Source organism: Homo sapiens, chromosome 16 (assembly GCF_000001405.40).
Source record: "Homo sapiens chromosome 16, GRCh38.p14 Primary Assembly".
Classification (NCBI taxonomy): Eukaryota; Metazoa; Chordata; class Mammalia; order Primates; family Hominidae; genus Homo; species Homo sapiens.
Genome location: NC_000016.10, coordinates 28,258,313 through 28,277,108, shown reverse-complemented (window position 1 = coordinate 28,277,108; position 18,796 = coordinate 28,258,313). Strand labels below are relative to the sequence as shown.

At 50.1% G+C, this 18,796-nt stretch overlaps 1 protein-coding gene across 1 annotated transcript in view, besides 1 other annotated feature; it reads right to left on the bottom strand.

Annotated features, from left to right (window-relative positions):
• SBK1 (SH3 domain binding kinase 1) overlaps positions 1-18,428 on the bottom strand; it is a 65,169-nt gene extending 46,741 nt beyond the window's left edge. The window contains exon 1 of the mRNA XM_005255315.5: positions 17,607-18,428. Coding sequence (XP_005255372.1) covers positions 17,607-17,701 — 95 coding nt within the window. The 5' untranslated portion in view covers positions 17,702-18,428. The remainder of the gene's footprint in view (positions 1-17,606) is intronic.
• Positions 16,095-16,595: an enhancer, noted in NCBI's record as "H3K4me1 hESC enhancer chr16:28271835-28272335 (GRCh37/hg19 assembly coordinates)". NCBI's record gives its function as "activates a minimal SCP1, AML or CMV promoter by ChIP-STARR-seq in primed H9 embryonic stem cells {active_cell/tissue: H9 hESC(primed)}" and the evidence as "EXISTENCE:reporter gene assay evidence [ECO:0000049][PMID:30033119]".
• Positions 18,429-18,796: the final 368 nt, after the last annotated feature.

Genomic DNA, 18,796 nt, shown 5'->3' with positions numbered 1-18,796 from the left:
TCCCAGGCCCACACCCCAGCCTGCGTAACGACCCCACACCTCACCTGCTCTGAGTTCTCTATTTCAGGCACTCCCCCCTCTGCTCTGCCCTTCTATCCTCTTCATCGCTTGCCCTGGTACCTGCAGGCATCAGCTTCAATCCACCGCCCGGGAGCTGTGGCTCACGCCTGTAATCCCAGCACTTTGGGAGGCCGAGGCAGGCAGATCATGAGGTCAGGAGATCAAGACCATCCTGGCTAACACGGTGAAACCTTGTCTCTACTAAAAATACAAAAAATTAGCCGGGCGTGGTGGCGGGCGCCTGTAGTCCCAGCTACTTGGGAGGCTGAGGCAGGAAAATCACTTGAACCCGGGAGGCGGAGGTTGCAGTGAGCCAAGATCGCACCACTGCACTCCAGCCTGAGCAACAGAGTGAGACTCCGCCCCTAAATAAATAAATAAATACATAAATAAATAAATAAAATAAAAACTTCAATCCACCACCTGCAGCACTTTCTCACTACCCAGCAACCCCCTTCTGCCACCACCACGATGGCCTCCTGGAAAACACGCCCACTCCCATGCCCACCTGTCCTGCTATAGGACCAACCTGGCACAGCGCTAGCCAGGCATCCGCTCTCTGCCTGCACCAAGCAAGCCAACACTGCCTGGGAGGGTCACCCCGCAGCTGCCAGTGCCCCGTCTCATTCAGGGGCGCGGGTCTTGGAGAGGCACTCAGCAGAGTGCCCCCAACCTCCGCCCTCACTATGCCTCCCAGTTGCTTTTTCCTGCCCTTTCTGAGCAGCTTCTGAAACTGTAATTCGCCTGTGAGTCTCCTAGGGGTCTTGGTGAGGCCCGAGATTCCGCATTCCATCCCGCCAGCCCCCAGGGGTGCTGACGTTGCTGTCCGTGGAGCCCACTCTGTAGCAAGGTCTGGGATGACTTCCCACCTCCTCCTCTCTCCTCAAACAAACCGTGGCTCCCACTTTGCTGAGAAAACAGATGGATGAGATACATTTCCACTGCCTCCGCCATCAAACCACAACCCCTCCTCCAGCCTCCCTCCTCCTCCACTTCTTCCATCCGCTTCAGTGGCAGAAGGGCCCTTCCCCTGAGGGGCTACAGGGACCCAGTTTCTTCAGAGGTTCCCTTCTTCCCCACTCCGTCCTCCTCATTCTTTCTTTTTCTTTTTCTTTACCCTTTCCTTCCTTCCTTCGTTCCTTCCTTCCTTCCTTCCTTTTTTTTGAGACAGGGTCTTCCTCTGTCACCCAGGCCAGAGTGCTGGAGTGCAGTGGTGCAGTGATAGCTCACTGCAGCCTCTAACTCCTGGACTTAAGCGATCCTCCCACCTCAGCCTCCTGAGTAGCTGTTACTACAGGTATGCACCATGGTTGGCTAATTTTCTTATTTTTTGTAGACTCAGGGTTTCGTCATGTTGCCAAGGCTGGTCTTGAACTCCTGGGCTCAAACGATCCACCTGCCTTGGCCTCTCAAAGTGCTGGAATTACAGACATGAGCCACTGCACCGGGACCCCCTCATTCTTTTTCCAGGACTTTCTTGTGGGCACCAAGGCTCTGGCGTCTCCTCCTGACCCACGTCTTGAGCCATTTCTGGGCCCCCGAACAAAGCTTCTTGATGGAACTGGCTTCCTTCTCTCTGCTCTGCAACTTCCCAGTCTCTTTTGTTTGTTCTTATTATTTCTTCTCTTCTTATATACATATAGAAAATATACTTTTAATTTGTATTCAAGTTAGATATGCCCATTGTTTAGAATCAACGCACAGGGGCAGCCTCACCCCCATTTCTCACTTATTTTTTAAGAGATGGAGTCTCGCTCTGTCACCCAGGCTGGTGTGCATTGGTGTGATCACGGCTCACTGTAGCAATCCTCCCGCCTCAGCCTCCTGTGTAGCTGGGACCACAGGCACAAGCCCCAGTGACTGGCTAATTTGTAATTTTTTGTAGAGATGGGGGAGGGTCTCACTATATTGCCCAGGCTGGTTTCGAACTTCAGCCCTCTAGAGATCCTCCTGCCTCGGCCTCCCAAAGTGCTGGGGTTACAGCGTGAGCCACCACGCCCGGCCCCTTTTCCCACTTCATAAGGACAACCATCTCAACTCTTTTAGCTCGTGATTAGTCATTTTTACCTCCACATTTCCTACATACCATGTTTACATTGCTTCTTTTCCAGTTTTAGGCATTCCTTACCAACCTCCCACTTTGGGAGAAGAGGATTTAGCTCCTTATGTCCAACCACTCCCTCTCCCACCCACTCCCACATCCTATCCCCCCTCACATTACAGTTGCATTATAACATTGGTAAGACTGGAAATGTTTACATATTGTGGAAACGTTATTTACAGCTCTGTGTGGAACACTATGATTCCTTTCTTTTTTTTTCAATAATAGGCTTTATATTTTAGAGTAGTTTTAGGCTTACAGAACAATTGAGCAGAACGTGTTTCTTTTTATTTTTTGAGACAGAGTCTCACTCTCTCACCCAGGCTGGAGTGCAGTGGCTCGATCTCGGCTCACTGCAACCTCCGCCTCCTGGGTTCAAGCGATTCTCCTGCCTCAGCCTCCCGAATAGCTGGGATTACAGGCACCCACCACCATGCCTGGCTAATTTTTTTGTATTTTTAGTAGAGACGGGGTTTCACCATGTTGGCCAGGCTGGTCTTGGACTCCAGACCTCGGGTGCTCTGCCTTCCTCGGCATCCCAAAGTGCTGGGATTACATGTGTGAGCCATCGCACCTGGCCTGAGCAGAACGCGTTTGAATTGACCAAGAGACTTTCAGTTTTGTAGTATACTTCCTCTCCTCCCAACAAATTTCTCCTACCATTAACATCTTGTATCAGCGTGGTGCACTTGTTAAAACTGATGAACCAAGATTGATACATAGTTGCTAACTAAAGTTCATATGTTACATCATCGGGGCTCATTCTTTGTTTTGTAGAGTTCCATGGGTTTTGACAAATGTATGTTACAGGTCCACCCTCCCAGTATCATACAGAATAGTTTCACTGCCCTAAAAATCCACCATGCTGTACCTCTTCATCCCTCCCTCTCTCCCGCCAGCCCCCTGGCAACCACTGATCTTTTTATTCTCTTTAGTTTTGGTTTTTCCAGAATGTCATATCACTGGAGTCAGATAGTACTTTTCAGACTGGCTTCTTTCACGTAGCAATACACATTTAAGGTTCCTCTGTGTCTTTTGGGTGGCTTGATGGCTCATTTTATCACTGAATGTTCCATTGTATGGGTGTACCTATAGAAGGACATTGTCATTGTGGTTTCTTCCAAGTTTTGGCAATTATGAATAAAGCTGCTATAAATATTCATGTGCAGATAAGACACCAAAAACAGGCAGCAAAAACAAGAATAGACAAGTGGGGCTGGGCGCAGGGACTCTCGCCTGGAATCCCAGCACTGTGGGAGGCCAAGGTGGGTGGACTGCTTGAGCTCAGGAGTTTAAGACCAGCCTGGGTAACACGGCATAACCCCATCTCTACAAAAAAATGAAATGGACAAGTGGGACTACATCAAACTAAAAAGCTTCTGCTTAGCAAAAGAAACAATCTACACAGTGAAAAGACAACCTATGGCCGGGCATGGTGGCTCATGCCTGTAATCCCAGCACTTTGGGAGGCCGAGGCAGGCGGATCACCTGAGGTCAAGAGTTTGTTGAGACCAGCCTGGCCAAAATGGTGAAACCCCATCTCTACTAAAAATACAAAAATTAGCTGGGCATGGGGGCTCACGCCTGTAATCTCAGCTACTTGGGAGCCTGGGGCAGGAGAATTGCTTGAACCCAGGAGGCGGAAGTTGCAGTGAGCCGAGACTGCGCCATTGCACTCTAGCTTGGTCAATAAGAAAGAAACTCTGTCTCAAAAGAAAAAAAAAAAATCTGAAAGAGAGGCCAGGTGCGGTGGCTCACACCTTTAATCCAGCACTTTGGGAGTTCAAAGTGAAGGGACTGCTTGAGGCCATGAGTTCGAGACCAGCCTGGGCAACATAATGAGACCCTGTCTCTAAAAAAAGAAAAAAATAATTCTCAAAATGGTATTAGCACTCCTGTGTTCTTTACAACAATATTCACAATAGCCAAATGTAGAAATAACCCAAATGGGTTGAATGGATGAAAAAAATGTGATCTATACATGCAACAGGGACTACTACAATTAAGCCTTAAAAATATGCGATGACAGGCCAGGCATGGTGGCTCACGCCTGTAATCCCAGCACTTTGGGAGGCCGAAGTGGGTGGATCACAAGGTCAGGAGTTCGAGACCAGCCTGGCCAATATGGTGAAACCCTATCTCTACTAAAAATACAAAAATTAGCCAGGCGTGGTGGGGCATGCCTGTAGTCCCAGCTACTCAGGGGGCTGAGGCAGAAGAATCGCTTGAACCTGGGAGGCAGAGGTTGCAGTGAGCCAAGATCATGCCACTGCACTCCAGCCTGGGTGACAGAGTGAGACTCCGTCTCAAAAAAAAAAAAAAAAAAAAGAAAGAAAGAAAGAAAGAAAAAAAATATGTGACAACATAGATGAAACTCAAGGACATTATGCAAAGCAAAATAAGCCACAGAAGGACACATATCTCATAATTCCACTTATATGGGATATCTAAAGAAGTCTAATTCCTAGATTTTGGTTCTATAGTTGTCAGAGTTGCAGAAGAAATTGGGGAATAGCTCATCAGTAGGCATAAAGATTCAATAAAGCAAGATGAATAAGCTCTAAAGAGCTGCTGTGTAACTCTGTACCAGGGGCTCACACCTGGAATCCCAGCACTTTGGGAGGCTGAGGCTAGAGGACCACTTGAGCCCAGGAGTTCGAAACCAGCCTGGACAACATAGCGAAACTCTGTCCCTATAAAAAATTTAAAAATTAACTGGACATGGTGGCATGCATCTGTAGTCCCAGCTACTCTGGAGGCTGAGGATGGAGGATTGCTTGAGCCCAGGAGATGGAGGCTGCAGTGAGCTGTGATTGTACTCCAGCCTCAGTAACAGAGTAAGACCATGTCTCAAAAAAACAACCATGTATTATACATGTATTGTACATTTAAAAATATGTTAGGAGGACAAATTTCATTAAGTGTCCTTACCACAGTAAAACGAAACTAGCAAATATTCATGTGCAGGATTTTCTGTGGGCATAAATTTTCAACTTATTTGGGTAAATACCAAGGAGCACTTGATATTTTCTGCCATTCTGTGGCTTCTCTTCACATTCTCTTGGCAGAGTCTTTTGCAGGGCAGAAATTTTCATTTTAAATTTCTTTCCCTTTTCTGTTCAAAAGTTTCGGTTTTCCTGGATTTGATAACATTTTTTGGAGAGGGGAGTACTTGTTTACCTACATGTTTATATATCAGTCAACCCATATTCTCCCCTACTTGTGTAAATGTCTCCAAAATTCAAAAACATTAGGTATTCTATCAATTTCATCTCCTTGAAGAGATCTCTTCTCTTATTTGAGTGTGAACTGCGAGATTCTCTTCTCCTCTCTCTTACATTCAATTCCTGTTTCCTGGAGTCCAGATGTTACTCTCTTTTTTGGGGGTGGGGGGACGGAGTCGCATTCTGTCACCCAGCCTGGAGTGCAGTGGTGTGATCTTGGCTCACTGCAACCTCCGCCTCCCAGGTTCAAGTGATTCTCCTGTCTCAGCCTCCCAAGTAGCTGAGATTACAGGCGTGTGCCACCATGCCCAGCTAATTTTTGTATTTTTAGTAGAAATGGGGTTTCACCATGTTGGCCAGGCTGGTCTTCAACTCCCGACCTCAGGTGATCTGCCTGCTTTGGCCTCCTAAAGTGCTAAGATTACAGGTGTGAGCCACTACTCCTGGCCCAGGTCTTACTCTTTATTGTTTTTCTTGTTTACTATTTCTTGTTTTACTTGGTTTACTCCCTTATTTTAGTGGAGTACATCCTCCAGTAGCTTTCTCAAGTAAGGGTGCGTAGGCCGGGTGCAGTGGCTCACGCCTGTAATCCCAGCACTTTGGGAGGCTGAGACGGGTGGATCACAAGGTCAGGAGATCGAGACCATCCTGGCTAACATGGTGAAACCCCGTCTCTACTAAAAGTACAAAAAATTAGCCAGGCGTGGTGGCGGGCGCCTGTAGTCCCAGCTACTCGGGAGGCTGAGGCAGGAGAATGGCATGTACCCGGGAGGCGGAGCTTGCAGTGAGCGGAGAGCACGCTGTTGCACTCCAGCCTGGGCAACAGAGCAAGACTCCGTCTCAAAAAATAAATAAATAAATAAATAAATAAATAAATAAATAAATAAATAAGAAAGGGTGCATAGGAGGTAAAATTTTTGAGCTCTTGCCAATCTGAAAATATTGTTTTTTCTACTCTCACTTTATTAGTAGTTTGGCTAAGTATTGAATTCTATGCTGAGGGCTGGGCACAGTGGCTCATGCCTGTAATCCCAGCACTTTGGGAGGCTGAAATGGGAGGATCACTTGAGCCAGGAGTTCAAGACCAGCCTGGGCAACATGGTAAAACCCTGTTTCTACAAAAATTAAAAAATTGGCCGGGTGTGGTGGCACTGCCTGTGGTCCCAGGTACCCAGGAGGCTCAGATAGGAGGATCATTTGGGCTCAGGAGGTTGAGACTGCAGTGAGACATGATTGTGCCACTGCACTGTAGCCTGGGTGACAGAGCAAAACCCTGTCTTTAGTAATAATAATAATAATAATAATAATAATAATAATTCTAGGCTGAAAATAATTTTCTTTTCTACTTTTGGAAACATAGTTCCGGCAGATCGTGGTGGCTCACGCCTGTAATTCCAGCACTTTGGGAGGCCGAGGTGGGTGGATCACGAGATCAAGAGATCGAGACCATCCTGGCCAACATGGTGAAACCTCATCTCTACTAAAAATACAAAAATTATCTGGCTGTGGGGGTGTGCGCCTGTAGTCCCAGCTACTCTTGAGGCTGAGGCAGGAGAATCGCTTGAACCTGGGAGGCGGAGGTTGAGTGGAGATCACGCCACTGCACTCCAGCCTGGCGACAGAGCACAAGACTGTGTCTCAAAAAAACAAAAACAAAAATGGAAAAAACATAGTTCATTGTCTTCTCGTTTCCAGGATTGCTGTTGAGAAGTCCGATGCCATTATGATTCTTGATACTCTATACAATTTTGGAGAATTTTCTTCTTGTCCCAGTGTCTTGAAATTTACTGGCGATTGGCTTTGGCATGAGTCTATTTTTATCCTTTGTTTTTGTTTGTTTGTTTGTTTGAGACGGAGTCTTGCTCTGTCACCCAGGCTGGAGTGCAGTGGTGCAATCTTGGCTCACTGCAACCCCCACCTCCCGAGTTCAAGCGATTCTCGTGCCTCAGCCTTGAGAGTAGCTGGGACTACAGGTGCGTGCCACCACTCTCAGCTAATTTTTTTTTTTTTGTATTTTTAGTAGAGATGGGATTTTACCATACAGGCCAGGCTGGTCTCAAACTCCTGACCTCAACTGATCCTGCTGCCTCGGCCTCCCAAAGTGCTGGGATTACAGGCATGAGCCACCACACCCAGCCTATTTTTATCCTTTGGATGGTCACTCCGTGGGCTCTTTTAATCAGGAAACTCAGGCCCTTCAGTTCTAAGAAATAGTGGAAACATTTTTTTGACTATTTCCTCTCCTCTCTACTGTCTTTCTGGAGCTCCTTTGTTCAGATGTGGGATGCCTGCACTGATCCTCTAATCTTCATACCCTTTCTTTCCTATTTCCCATCTGTAGTAGTCATGGAGGTGGCTGCTTGGTTCTCCTTTCAAGAAAGAACTTGCAGGCCAGGCATGGTGGCTCACACCTGTAATCCCAGCACTTTGGGAGGCCGAGGCTGGTGAATCACCTGTGGTCGGGAATTCGAGACCAGCCTGACTAACATGGTGAAACCCCACCTCTACTAAAAAATACAAAAGTGAGCCAGGCATGGTGGCGGGCGCTTTTAATCCCAGCTACTCAGGAGGCTGAGGCAGGAGAATCGCTTGAACCCAGGAGGCAGAGGTTGCAGTGAGCCAAGATTGCACCCTTGCACTCCAGCCTGGGTGACAGAGCAAGACTCCATCTCAAAAAAAAAAAAAAAAAAAGGAAAGAACTTGCTATTTGGCTTTGAGGATTGCAGTTGGCTGACAGCCTTCAACTACACTGTCTTTGAGATCTGCCACAGCAGTTGAGCCAAAACTAAGGTCTTGTTGGGCAGCTCCAGCCAATGACTGAGGACAGTGGGGACAGTGGGGACACTGGAGCTCCTCTCCTGGACAATGTTTGCTCTTGAGCTTCTCTATAGGTTGGCCAAGACTGCTGGATCAACACCAAAGTGGCTGCCTAGCTCTTTTTTCCTTCTTTCTTTTTTTTTCGAGACAGAGTCTCGCTCTGTCACCCAGACTGGAGTGCAGTGGTGCGATCTCGGCTCACTGCAACCTCCGCCTCCCAGGTTCAAGCAATTCTCGTGTCTCAGCCTTCTGAGTAGCTGGGACTACAGGCACGTGCCACCATGCCTGATTAATTTTTGTATTTTTAGTAGAAACAGGGTTTTGCCATTTTGGCCAGGCTGGTCTCGAACTCCTGACCTCAGGTGATCCACCCGCCTCAGCCTCCCAAAGTGCTGGGATTACAGGTATGAGCCACCGAGCCTGGCCAATAGTTTTGATTTCTGGGCAACATAGTGAGACCCATCTTTACAAAAAAAAAAAAAACCCATTTTTAAAAATTAGCCAGGTGTGGTGGTGCACACCTATGATCTCAGCTACTCAGGAGGCTGAGGTAGGAGGATTGCTTGAACCCCAGAAGTGGAGGCTGCAGTGAGCCCTGATCCCACCACTGCACTCCAGCCTAGTTGACAGGGTGAGACTCTATCTCTACACAAAAACAAAAACCAAAAAACCCCCAGAACTGTTACTACTATATTTAGATATTTAAGAAAATATACTATAACTATGAAACAAAAACTGGATGCTATTTGACAGGGAGAGGGACCTCCAGGAATGAACAAAACTGTTTTATAAAGATGGGGTCTCACCATGTTGCCCAGGCTGGTCTCAAACTCCTAGGCTCAAGCAATCCTCCCACCTCAGCCCCCCAAGTAGCTGGGACTACAGGTGCACACCACCACGCCTGGTTAATTTTTACCTTTTTTTAGAGACAAGGTCTTGCTATGTGGCTCAGGCTGGTCTTGAACTCCTGGCCTCAAGCAATCCTCCCAGTTCAGCCTCCCAAAGCGCTGGGATTACAGGCACGAGCCACTGCGCCTGGCCGCAAGGACATTTGAGGATTTAAGCCCTTCTTACCCTAGTCCTCCTGGGGTTCAGCCCCAGCTTTACTCTCATTTCCAGAGGTACTTAGGCTATTAATGCCAGCACCTTTCAGGGATTTGGCAGTATAGATTATACTCCTTGGCCTGTCCTAACCCCAGTTTAGGGTTCACTTAAAGTGCAAATTCCTCAGCCTGCTAAGTCAGTTATTACCACGTGTTCATTTATCTTCCAGATTCCAAAATGGTGTTGCTATTTTCTCCATTTTCAGTTGATTAGTTCTCACTGCTTCATGCTGTGTTAGGCAGAACAATGGCCCCCTGCAAACATCCATGTCCTAATCTCCATTAGCCATGAACATGTTACCTTCCATGGCAAAAGGGACTTTGCAAATGTGATTAAGGTTAAGAAGCTTGAGAAGGGGAGATCAGTCTGGATAATTCAGGTGAGCCCAATCTAATCACATGAATTGTGAAAACCTTTCCCAGGTGTGGTCAGAGAAAGTGATACGCCACGAATAGTGGCTCACGCCTGTAATCCCAACACTTTGGGAAACTGAGGCGGGAGGATCACTTGAGCTCGGAAGTTCGAGAACAGCCTGGCCCACATAGTGAGATGCCTCCGCCTCCCCCCACCCCATCTTTATAAAAAATTAAAAATTAGGCTAGGTGCAGTGGCTCAAGCCTGGAATCCCAGCACTTTGGGAGGCTGAGGTGGGTGGATCACCTGAGGTCAGGAGTTTGAGACCAGCTTGGCCAACATGGTGAAACGGTGTCTCTACTAAAAATAAAAAAAATAGCCAGGTGTGGTGGTGCACACCCATAATCCCAGCTACTCAGGAGGCTGAGGCAGGAGAATCGATTGAACCCTGGAGGCAGAGGTTGAAGTGTGCTGAGATCGCACCACTGCACTCCAGCCTGGGCGACAGAGTGAGACTCTGTCTGAAAAAAAAAATTTAAAATTAGCCGTGGTGTGTGGCGCATGTCTGTAGTCCCAGCTACTTGGGGGACTAAGGAGGGAGGACCACTTGAGCCCAGAAGGTCAAGGCTGCGGCAATCCTGATTGGGCCATTGCACTTCTGCCTGGGCTACAGAGCAAGATCCTGTTTTGTTTTTTTTTTAAAAAAAAAAAAAAAGAAAAGAAAAAAGAAAGTGATGTGATGAGAAATCAGAGAGATGCTACCTTGCTGGAGGGAGGTGGTCACGGGCCAAGGCATGCAGGTACCTTTTGGAAGATGGAAAAATCAAAGAAATGGGTTCTTGCCTGTAGCATCCAGAAAGCCCTTCCAGGAAGAGCTTCCTAGAGCCGTCCTGTCAACACTTTGATTTCAGCTCAGTGAGATCTGTGTCAGTTTTGACATATAAAACCGTAAGAATTAACTTGTTTAGTTTAAGGCAACTCAGTTTATGGCAATTTGTTATGGAAGCAATAAAACACTGATGCACACACCTTTAAAAATCCACTCACTATCCTTTTTCTTTTCTTTTCTTTTCTTTTTGTAAGAGACAGGGTCTCCCTTTGTCACCTAGGGTTGAGTGCAGTGGTGTGATCTTAGCTCACTGCAGCCTTGAACTCCTGGGCTCAAGCGATCCTCCCACCTCAGCCTCTCCAGGAGCTGGGAATACCGATACGTGCCACTATGCCCAGGTAATTTTTAAAATTTTTTTGTAGAGACAGGGTCTTGCCCAGGGTGGTCTTGAACTCTTGGGCTCCAGTGATCCTTCTGCCTCAGCCTTCCAAGGTGTCGGGTTACAGTTGTGAGCCACTGCACTCAGCCTCACTGTCCTTTCAATGGGGCTTTAGGATACAGAGAAATTACATGTGTGTGTTCAATCTTCCTTCTTTAACCACATCAAACCTGGTTTTGTTTCCACTGCTTCATGTTTGCATTCTTTTTTTTTTTTTTAATTGAGACAGAGTCTCACTCTGTGCAGTGGTACAATATTGGCTCACTACAACCTCCACTTCCCAGGTTCAAGCTATTCTCCTGCCTTAGCCTCCCGAGTAGCTCAGATTACAGGTGCGTACCACCACGCGGGGCTAATTTTTGTATTTTTAGTAGAGATAGGGTTTCATCATGTTGGCCAGGCTGGTCTCGAACTCCTGACCTCAAGTGATCCGCCTGCTTCACTCTCCCAAAGTGCTGGGATTACAGTAGTGAGCCACCGTGCCAGGCTTCATGATGCATTCTTATCAAAGTCACTCTTGACTTCTACATCACTAAATCTAATCTTTTTTCTTTTTTAAAAAATTATTTATGTTTTTAATTTTAATTTTTATATTTTTTAGAGATAGGGTCTTCCTCTGTTGCCCAGGCTGGAGTGCAGTGGTACAATCACTGTAACCTTGAACTCCTGGGCTCAAGCAATCCTCCTGCCTTAGCCTCCTCCCAAGTAGCTAGGACTACAGGTGCATGCCACCATGCCCGGCTAGTATTTATTTATTTATTTATGAGAGAGTTTTGCTCTGTCTCCCAGACTGGACTATAGCGGCGCCATCATGGCTCGGTGTAACCTCGACCTCCCAAGTTCAAGCAACCCTCCCACCTCAACCTCCTGAGTAGCTGGAACTACAGACATGCGCCATGATGCCCGGCTTTTATTTCTTTCTTTTTTTAATAGAGATGGGGGTCTCATGTTGCCCAGGCTAGTCTCAAACTCCTGGCCTTAAGTGATCCTCCTGCCTCTGCCTCCTCAAGTGCTGGGATTACAGCTGTGAGCCATCGCACAAGTCCTATTTTTTTTTTCTCTCTCACTTGTTGTAGAGATGGGGGTCTCCCTATGTTTCCCTGGCTGGTTTCGAATCCTGGGTTCAAGCAATCCTCCTGCCTCGGCCTCCCAAAGTGCTGGGATTGCAGGCGTGTTCCAATGCGCCTGGCAGCTGAATCTAATCTCGTTTCCCTGGACTGCTCACATCTTTGAAGCAGGTGGACCACGCCCCCTCTCCTCGCGACACTTCCTTGGTTTCCGTGACTGCCCAGGCTCTCAGTTTTCCTCCCACTTTCCCAGCTGCTCCTTCTCTGCCTCCCTCGCTGGCTTCTCCTCCACATGATCTCAATACCGCGGAGTCCTCAGGGCCCTGTCCTGGAGCCTCTTCCCTCCCCTCTTTCCCGTGTGATCTCATGGCTTGCAACACCATCTTTTTACCAATGACCCTGAAGTTCCACCGTCAGCCGAGAGGCTCCTCTTCTGAACTCCAGACTCTCATTATGATGTCCTCTCTTGACATCTTCACTTGGACACCTCACCTGCTTCTCAAGTGGAAAATATCTGTGGCAGGAATTTTTTTTTTTTTTTTGAGACGGAGTCTCGCTCTATTGCCCAGGCTGGAGTGCAGTAGTGTAATCTCTGCTCTGCAACCTCCGCCTCCCGGGTTCAAGCTATTTTCCTGCCTCAGCCTCCTGAGTAACTGGGACTACAGGTGTGTGCCTCCATGCCTGGCCAATTTTTGTATTTTTAGTAGAGATGGGGTTTCACTGTGTTGGCCAGGCTGGTCTTGAACTCCTGACCTCAAGTGATCCGCCCGCCTCTGCCTCCCAAAGTGCTGGGATTACAGGCGTGAGCCTGTATTCTTGATGTTCTCACCAAGTCTTTTCCTCCCTCGAATCTGCCCATCACCCATGCACCTCTGCAATCCCCAAAGCCCAGATCACCCCGGATTCCCTTCCTCCTCTGACCCATCAGAAAATTCTGTGGATTTGTCTCCAATGTTTGTTTGTTTTTATTTTATTTTTAGTTTTAGAGACAGGGTCTTGCTGTGTCACCTAGGCTAAAGTGTGGTGACACAATCACAGCTCACTGCAGCCTCAAACTCCTGGGTTCAAGCAACCCTCCCACCTCAGCCTCCTGAGTAGCTGGGACTACAGGCCCACGACACCATGCCTGGCTAATTTTAGAATTTTTCTTTTGCAGGGATAGGATCTCATTATGTTGCCCAGGCTGGTCTGGAGCTCCTGGGCTCAGGCAATCCTCCTGTTTTGGTCTCCCAAAGTGCTGGGATTATAGGCATGAACCACTGTGCCCAGCCTCCTAAATATGTTCAGAAAGCACTTTCTTACTTCCCCATCTCCAAAGCCGCTCACCACTGTGACCTCCACGTTGGCGTCCTCTATTCATTCTGGCCCATCACCACTGATTCTCCCAAGCATAGCCTGAAATATCCTTTAAAATGTCAATCAGATTATACAACTTCCCCCATTTAAGAGCTCTCAAAGGCTTCCCAATTCCTTCTGGAACAAAATCCATCTCCTCGCCATGGGTGCCAAGGCCTGCGTGGCCTGACTGTTCCTGTCCCTCCTGCCCTGCCTCTTGTCACTGTCCCCATCATTTGCTCTGCCTCGGCTACACTGAGCCCTCCCCGTGCTCCTGCCTACCTGTTGCTCTCAATTTGCTTTGCCTGAGCTGCTGTTACTACCCGTCTCCCCACTGCTGGCTACTTCTCATTCTCTAGGTCTTAGATGAAATATCCTCACCTCCCTGTTTACCGTATGCAAAGCAGCTGTCTCCACCATCCCTGGTAATTTCCTTCACAATGGGCTTTGAACCTTGACGATTTGTTTATTTGTTCACTTGTGTTTTGTTTGACTCCCTCATTAGATATAAACCCCATGAGAGCAGGGATGGTATTTTCAGTCCAGTTTCTGGTGCTAGCCCACAAAAGCTATGCAACGAAATTTGTTGAGTGAATGAATGAATGAGAACATTGGGCATCTATTATGTACTGGATGCTTTCATGTAGACGGGACTATATTTCCCAGCTTTTCTTGCAATGAGCTGTTCTGGCCAATGCATGTGGGCAGAAGTAAAGGAGGCCATTTCCAGCTTTGGTTCATAAAAACCTCATGTGTGGTTTCCACTCTTGTTCTTCATCTGCAAGCTGGATGCAGAAGATCCAGCAGTGGCCGTGGGTGATGACAGAGTTACAAGATGAGAGGAGCCTGGATCCCTGAAAGATCACGTGGAGCAGAGTCTCCTCCATCACCACCCCCACCCCAAAACACACACACACCCAGAATATAAGGCTCTTCTGTGTTAAGCCATTACGATTGCCAAGCTTATTTATTCCAACAGCTTGCCTCACCTTAATTAATACATCAAAACACCAGATGTAGGTGGCTGGTGAACATTACTGTGGGTGATGCGTTTGCTGACAAATTTTCATCAAATGCAGATGTGTTTTCTGTGGGGCTGTCTCTTGCATTGTCCCACAACAGAAGCCGAGGGCACAGTGCTCACACCTCTATTATAGCACATTGTGCTGTCTGTTCGAGCGTGTGTTGTTTTTGTCTTCACTAGGCTGTGAGCCCCTCCAGGGACATGGCTGTGTCACATTCATCGCAGTGGCCTCAGCATCCAGTCCCCAGGGAGCCTCAGGGAAAATGTACTGAATCCACAAAGGAGTGAACTGGTCACCTGCCCCCCTTCGTTGCCTTTCTTTCCCTACAAATGCCTGAGAAAGTCCAACTCTTTAATTTTGCAGAGACCCAAAGAGAAGTGACTTCCCCAGGATCACACAGAAGCAGGATGCACCAGAATTAGCCTGCCCAGGGCTGCTAAACGTGGCAGCCAGCTATTCTAGGACTGAATCCTGGAGCCTACCAGGGGCTGGAGCAAGGCTGGGAGAGGCGGGGCGGGGTTGGCTGGGGGCAGCCACAGATTTCTCTAAGCCCCCAAGGTGACCCCACCCAGCCTCATTGCCCCACTGCCCCTCCTCCAGCAGCAAAGAAACACTCCAGAGCCTTCTGTCCCACCCTCCCCAGCCAGCACTGGCTCCTGCAGCCTGGGCGGACACATCACTCAGTATTTTTAGCTTCACCACCTGGCACCTGTGGTCACTGTCTCTGCCCAGCCTGGCCCTGTCCCCTCCCAGGTCTTAAAGGGCCAGAACCTGCCAGCTAGAAAGGAGACCAGCTCCTGCAAACATAGGCTACCATACTCCCAGGGCAGGAGGCAGAGAGACATCCCCTACAGAGAGTCCCCAGAATCAGAGGTGGGAGATGAAGGGATGAGGGATGAGGGGGCAGATTTCACGGCTGCCAACCCTAAGGCCTATTCCTGTCTCTTTCTGGGGCTTCCCAAATGCTGGTTTGCTTACGTTGTTCACCTGGAGGAAACTGATCAACATTACACATCCATCCTAAGACCTGAAGCTGCAAAATCTCCGATGCAGGGTCTGGGAGTGTAGTATTTTTTAACAATTCAACTCAGATTATTCCCATGCCCTCTCTCTTTCTCTTTTTTGAGACAGGGTCTCACTCTGTCGCCTAGGCTGGAGTGCAGGGGCGTGATCATAGCTCAGTGCAGCCTCGAACTTCTGGGCTCAAGGGATCCTCTTGCTTCAGCCCCTGGAATAGCTGGGACTACAGGTGCATGCCACCATGCCTGGCTAATTGTGTGTGTGTGTGTGTGTGTGTGTGTGTGTGTGTGTGTGTGTGTGTGTGTAGACGGGAGTCTCACTGTGTTGCCTAGGCTGGTCTCGAACTCCTGAGCTCAAGCGATCTACCCGCCTTGGCCTCCCAAAGGTCTGGGGTTACAGGTGTGAACCACCACACCCCGCCTGATGCCCTATCTTTCAATGTCATATTCGTTCATTCATTCATTCATGTATTCATTCAACAAGCATTTTGAGTGTTCACTATGAACACGGGGTTCTATCATGAGACCATTGCTTAGGAGTTCTTGCTTAGGGCAAGAAGCCCTTCTGCACCTATTATTTCCTTGCCTCTCCTCACTTGCCCCTGTTTTGCCTCGAGTCTTCCCCATTGCTTGCTCCAGTGCCTATGGGTCAGGTCCCCGGCTCAGCGTCCAGGCCCTCTGTGATCTGGCCCTGTTCTGCCAGCCTCATCCTCACCATCCACACTTTGTTTCTTATTTGCACCAAGCCTTCCCTCTTGCCGTTCCCACTGCCTGCGATGCCCTTTCCTCAGCCTCTCTCACCCCTGGGAAGGCACTTGCACGTTAAGACAGACCTGGTGGGCCTCCGATGGCTCCTGTGGGCAGAGGTGGTCTGTTTTGCCTCCTGACTTCCTAGGCACTGTGCACCCACGCCCATCAAGATGCCCACTACCCTGTGCAGAACTGACCTGTCTTCTCTTTTGTCTCTCCTAGCAGGCTGTGACCCTGTGAGCCAGGTTCCAGTCCCCAGCCCAGGCCCTGGCAGTCTGTGGGTGGCCAGTCACTGTGTTGAATGTTAAGCTGACAACCATAGCAGGGAACATCCTCCCATTTTACAGATGAGGAGACAGAGGCCCACGGAGCGGGAACTGTGCACCCAGAGTCCAACAGAGAAAGTCAGGGAGGAACCCAGCCCAGGCTCCAGGAGCCCTCGCCTGGCCCACTTGTCCTGGAAGGATCCTGGAGGGGGAAACTGGCTTGGCCCATGCCTACCCTTCTCCCCACCCAGGGCAGGGTAGTGCTGACTCAGACAGTGATGGAGGCACAGGCAGGCTGGGCTGGAGCAGAGGTGACCCCTGTCTCCCTTGCAGATCACTCCCAGAGCCTGTGGTCACAGCTTGGATAATGCACTTGGCTGGAGCCTGGGTTTCCCTGCAGGTGGGGGTGGGGAGAGCTGGCTAAAGGAACAATGATCTCTAGGGCTTGAACTCCCACTGGGCCCCAGGCACAGCCCTTCCCTCCACATAGGTATGCAGCACTCATACCTGCTCCCACAAACATGTACACAGGCTCACAGTCACACACGGTCACCCCCAATACCCAGTCACGCAGCCACACAAACCATTCTGTCTCTCTCCCTCTCTCTTTTACACACACACACACACACACACAAGCAAATACACATGCATGCATTTTCGTGTATGAATTCAACAAAGATGGAACATCTGTTAGGTGCCACTGCAGTGCAGGATGGAAAGGTGGCTCTCAGGTTAGGGTGGGACAGGGACATCCAGGAGGGCTTCCTGAAGGAGGAAGCGTTGCAGCTGGGCCTGGATGGAGGAGAATGGGGGAAGAGAAGTCTGGGCAGAGTTTCACTGGAGGTTAATATAGGGGAACAGAGTGAGATGAGGTGGGGAGTGTCGGCCCCAATCACGCAGGCCTTGAATGCTCAGCCGAGTGTTAACTTTATCCCACGGGAGCTGGGAGCCATGGAGGGCTCTGAGCAGGGGAGGGACATGCTCACTGTGGGAGAGGACGTGAAAGCCACTCTGGGGCTAGGGTGGGGGAGATAGGAAGGAGGCTGTGGCAACAACCAGGTGAGAGATCTGAGATCTGAAGCAGGAAGTGGCAGTGGGTGGTAAGCAGTGGACAGAGAGAGATTGACTTGAAGCAAGACTGCCAGGCCCACAGGCACCCTGGGTCGAGCGCTGTGCCCACCTGCTGCCCACCCACTGGCCACCCACGAGCACTGACCTCCGCAATGGGACTTCTTCCAGCAGCTCCTCTTCCTCCTCCCTGTGGAAGCAGACGAAGCAGAAGGCCGGCACATCATCGACTCCGCAGCCCATGGGCCAGGCCGGAGGCAGCTCCAGGACAGGGCAGGGGTGGCCAGGGGTGGCCTCCGCAGCATCATCGCCAGCCTGGGCAGGAGTCCCCGAGCCAGGGCGCTCCAGGGTCAGCAGCCCGTCGGCTTCAGGGCTCTGCACTTGCCCGCCCGCCACCTGTGCCTTCTCACTCAGGTTGCCCGTCGCCTCGGTGGGTGGAGGAGCCGGGGGCTCTGTCTGGCGGGGGCTCCTGTCTTGACCCGTGGGGGTTCCAGCCACGGGGCTGGGCCGTGCGAAGCGGTGTCCAGCCACCTGGATTCCGAGGTGGCTGGTGGGCAGACGGAGGTCTGGGAGTGCCCCCCCAACTGCCCCTGTGGAGCCCTAGGCCCTCCGGCTGCCCACTCTGTGGCTGTCTGTCAGAGGCAGGACTAGGAGGGCAGGCTTGCAGGTGTCCCGTGCCCCAGTCCCCCTGTCTGTCCAGCCGTCTGCTCCTCCTGGTCCAGCCAGCACGGCCGCAGAGGTGCCTTCCCTAAGAAAGTTTGTTCTCCTCGGCTGGGGTGAGTGGCATGGGTGGCCTCCAGGAGAGAGGGTTGGGACCTGCAGCTGAAAGACGGGCAAGGGCCAGGTGAGGCTGGCACGGTGCCCACGCTGTCCTCGAGAAAAGTTCTGACCCCTGGAGTCCCGGTCCCGGCTCGGCTGCGACTGGCGGCTCTCCCGGCTCCCTGCTCTCCCCAGCTCCAGTGGCTTCTCTGGCAGACTGGCTGGGCTGTGGGTATTAATAGCTCCACATTCACGCTGAGAAGCCTGGAGGTTAACTCCTTCTCTGCCAGAGCTGGGGAGGCTGGCAGGGCGGGCGGGTGCGGCCAGGCAGCGTGGCGAAGTGGCCTCGGGGAGCAGAGGGAAGGGTGGTGCCTTGATCCTGCCCCCGCTCTGAGCCTGGCTGCTGCAGCAGGACCCTCAGTGCCACCTCCTGCCCATGAGTCTCTGTGCTGCACTGGGCTCCCGGGGCTTGGGAGTGTGTGGGCCACCTGACCCCTCCACATGTACCCCCAGGAAGTTGGGGGGCCCTGGGAAGGGGCACTGGGAGCTCAGGGCAGCTCCTCTGGGATAGAAGGGGCT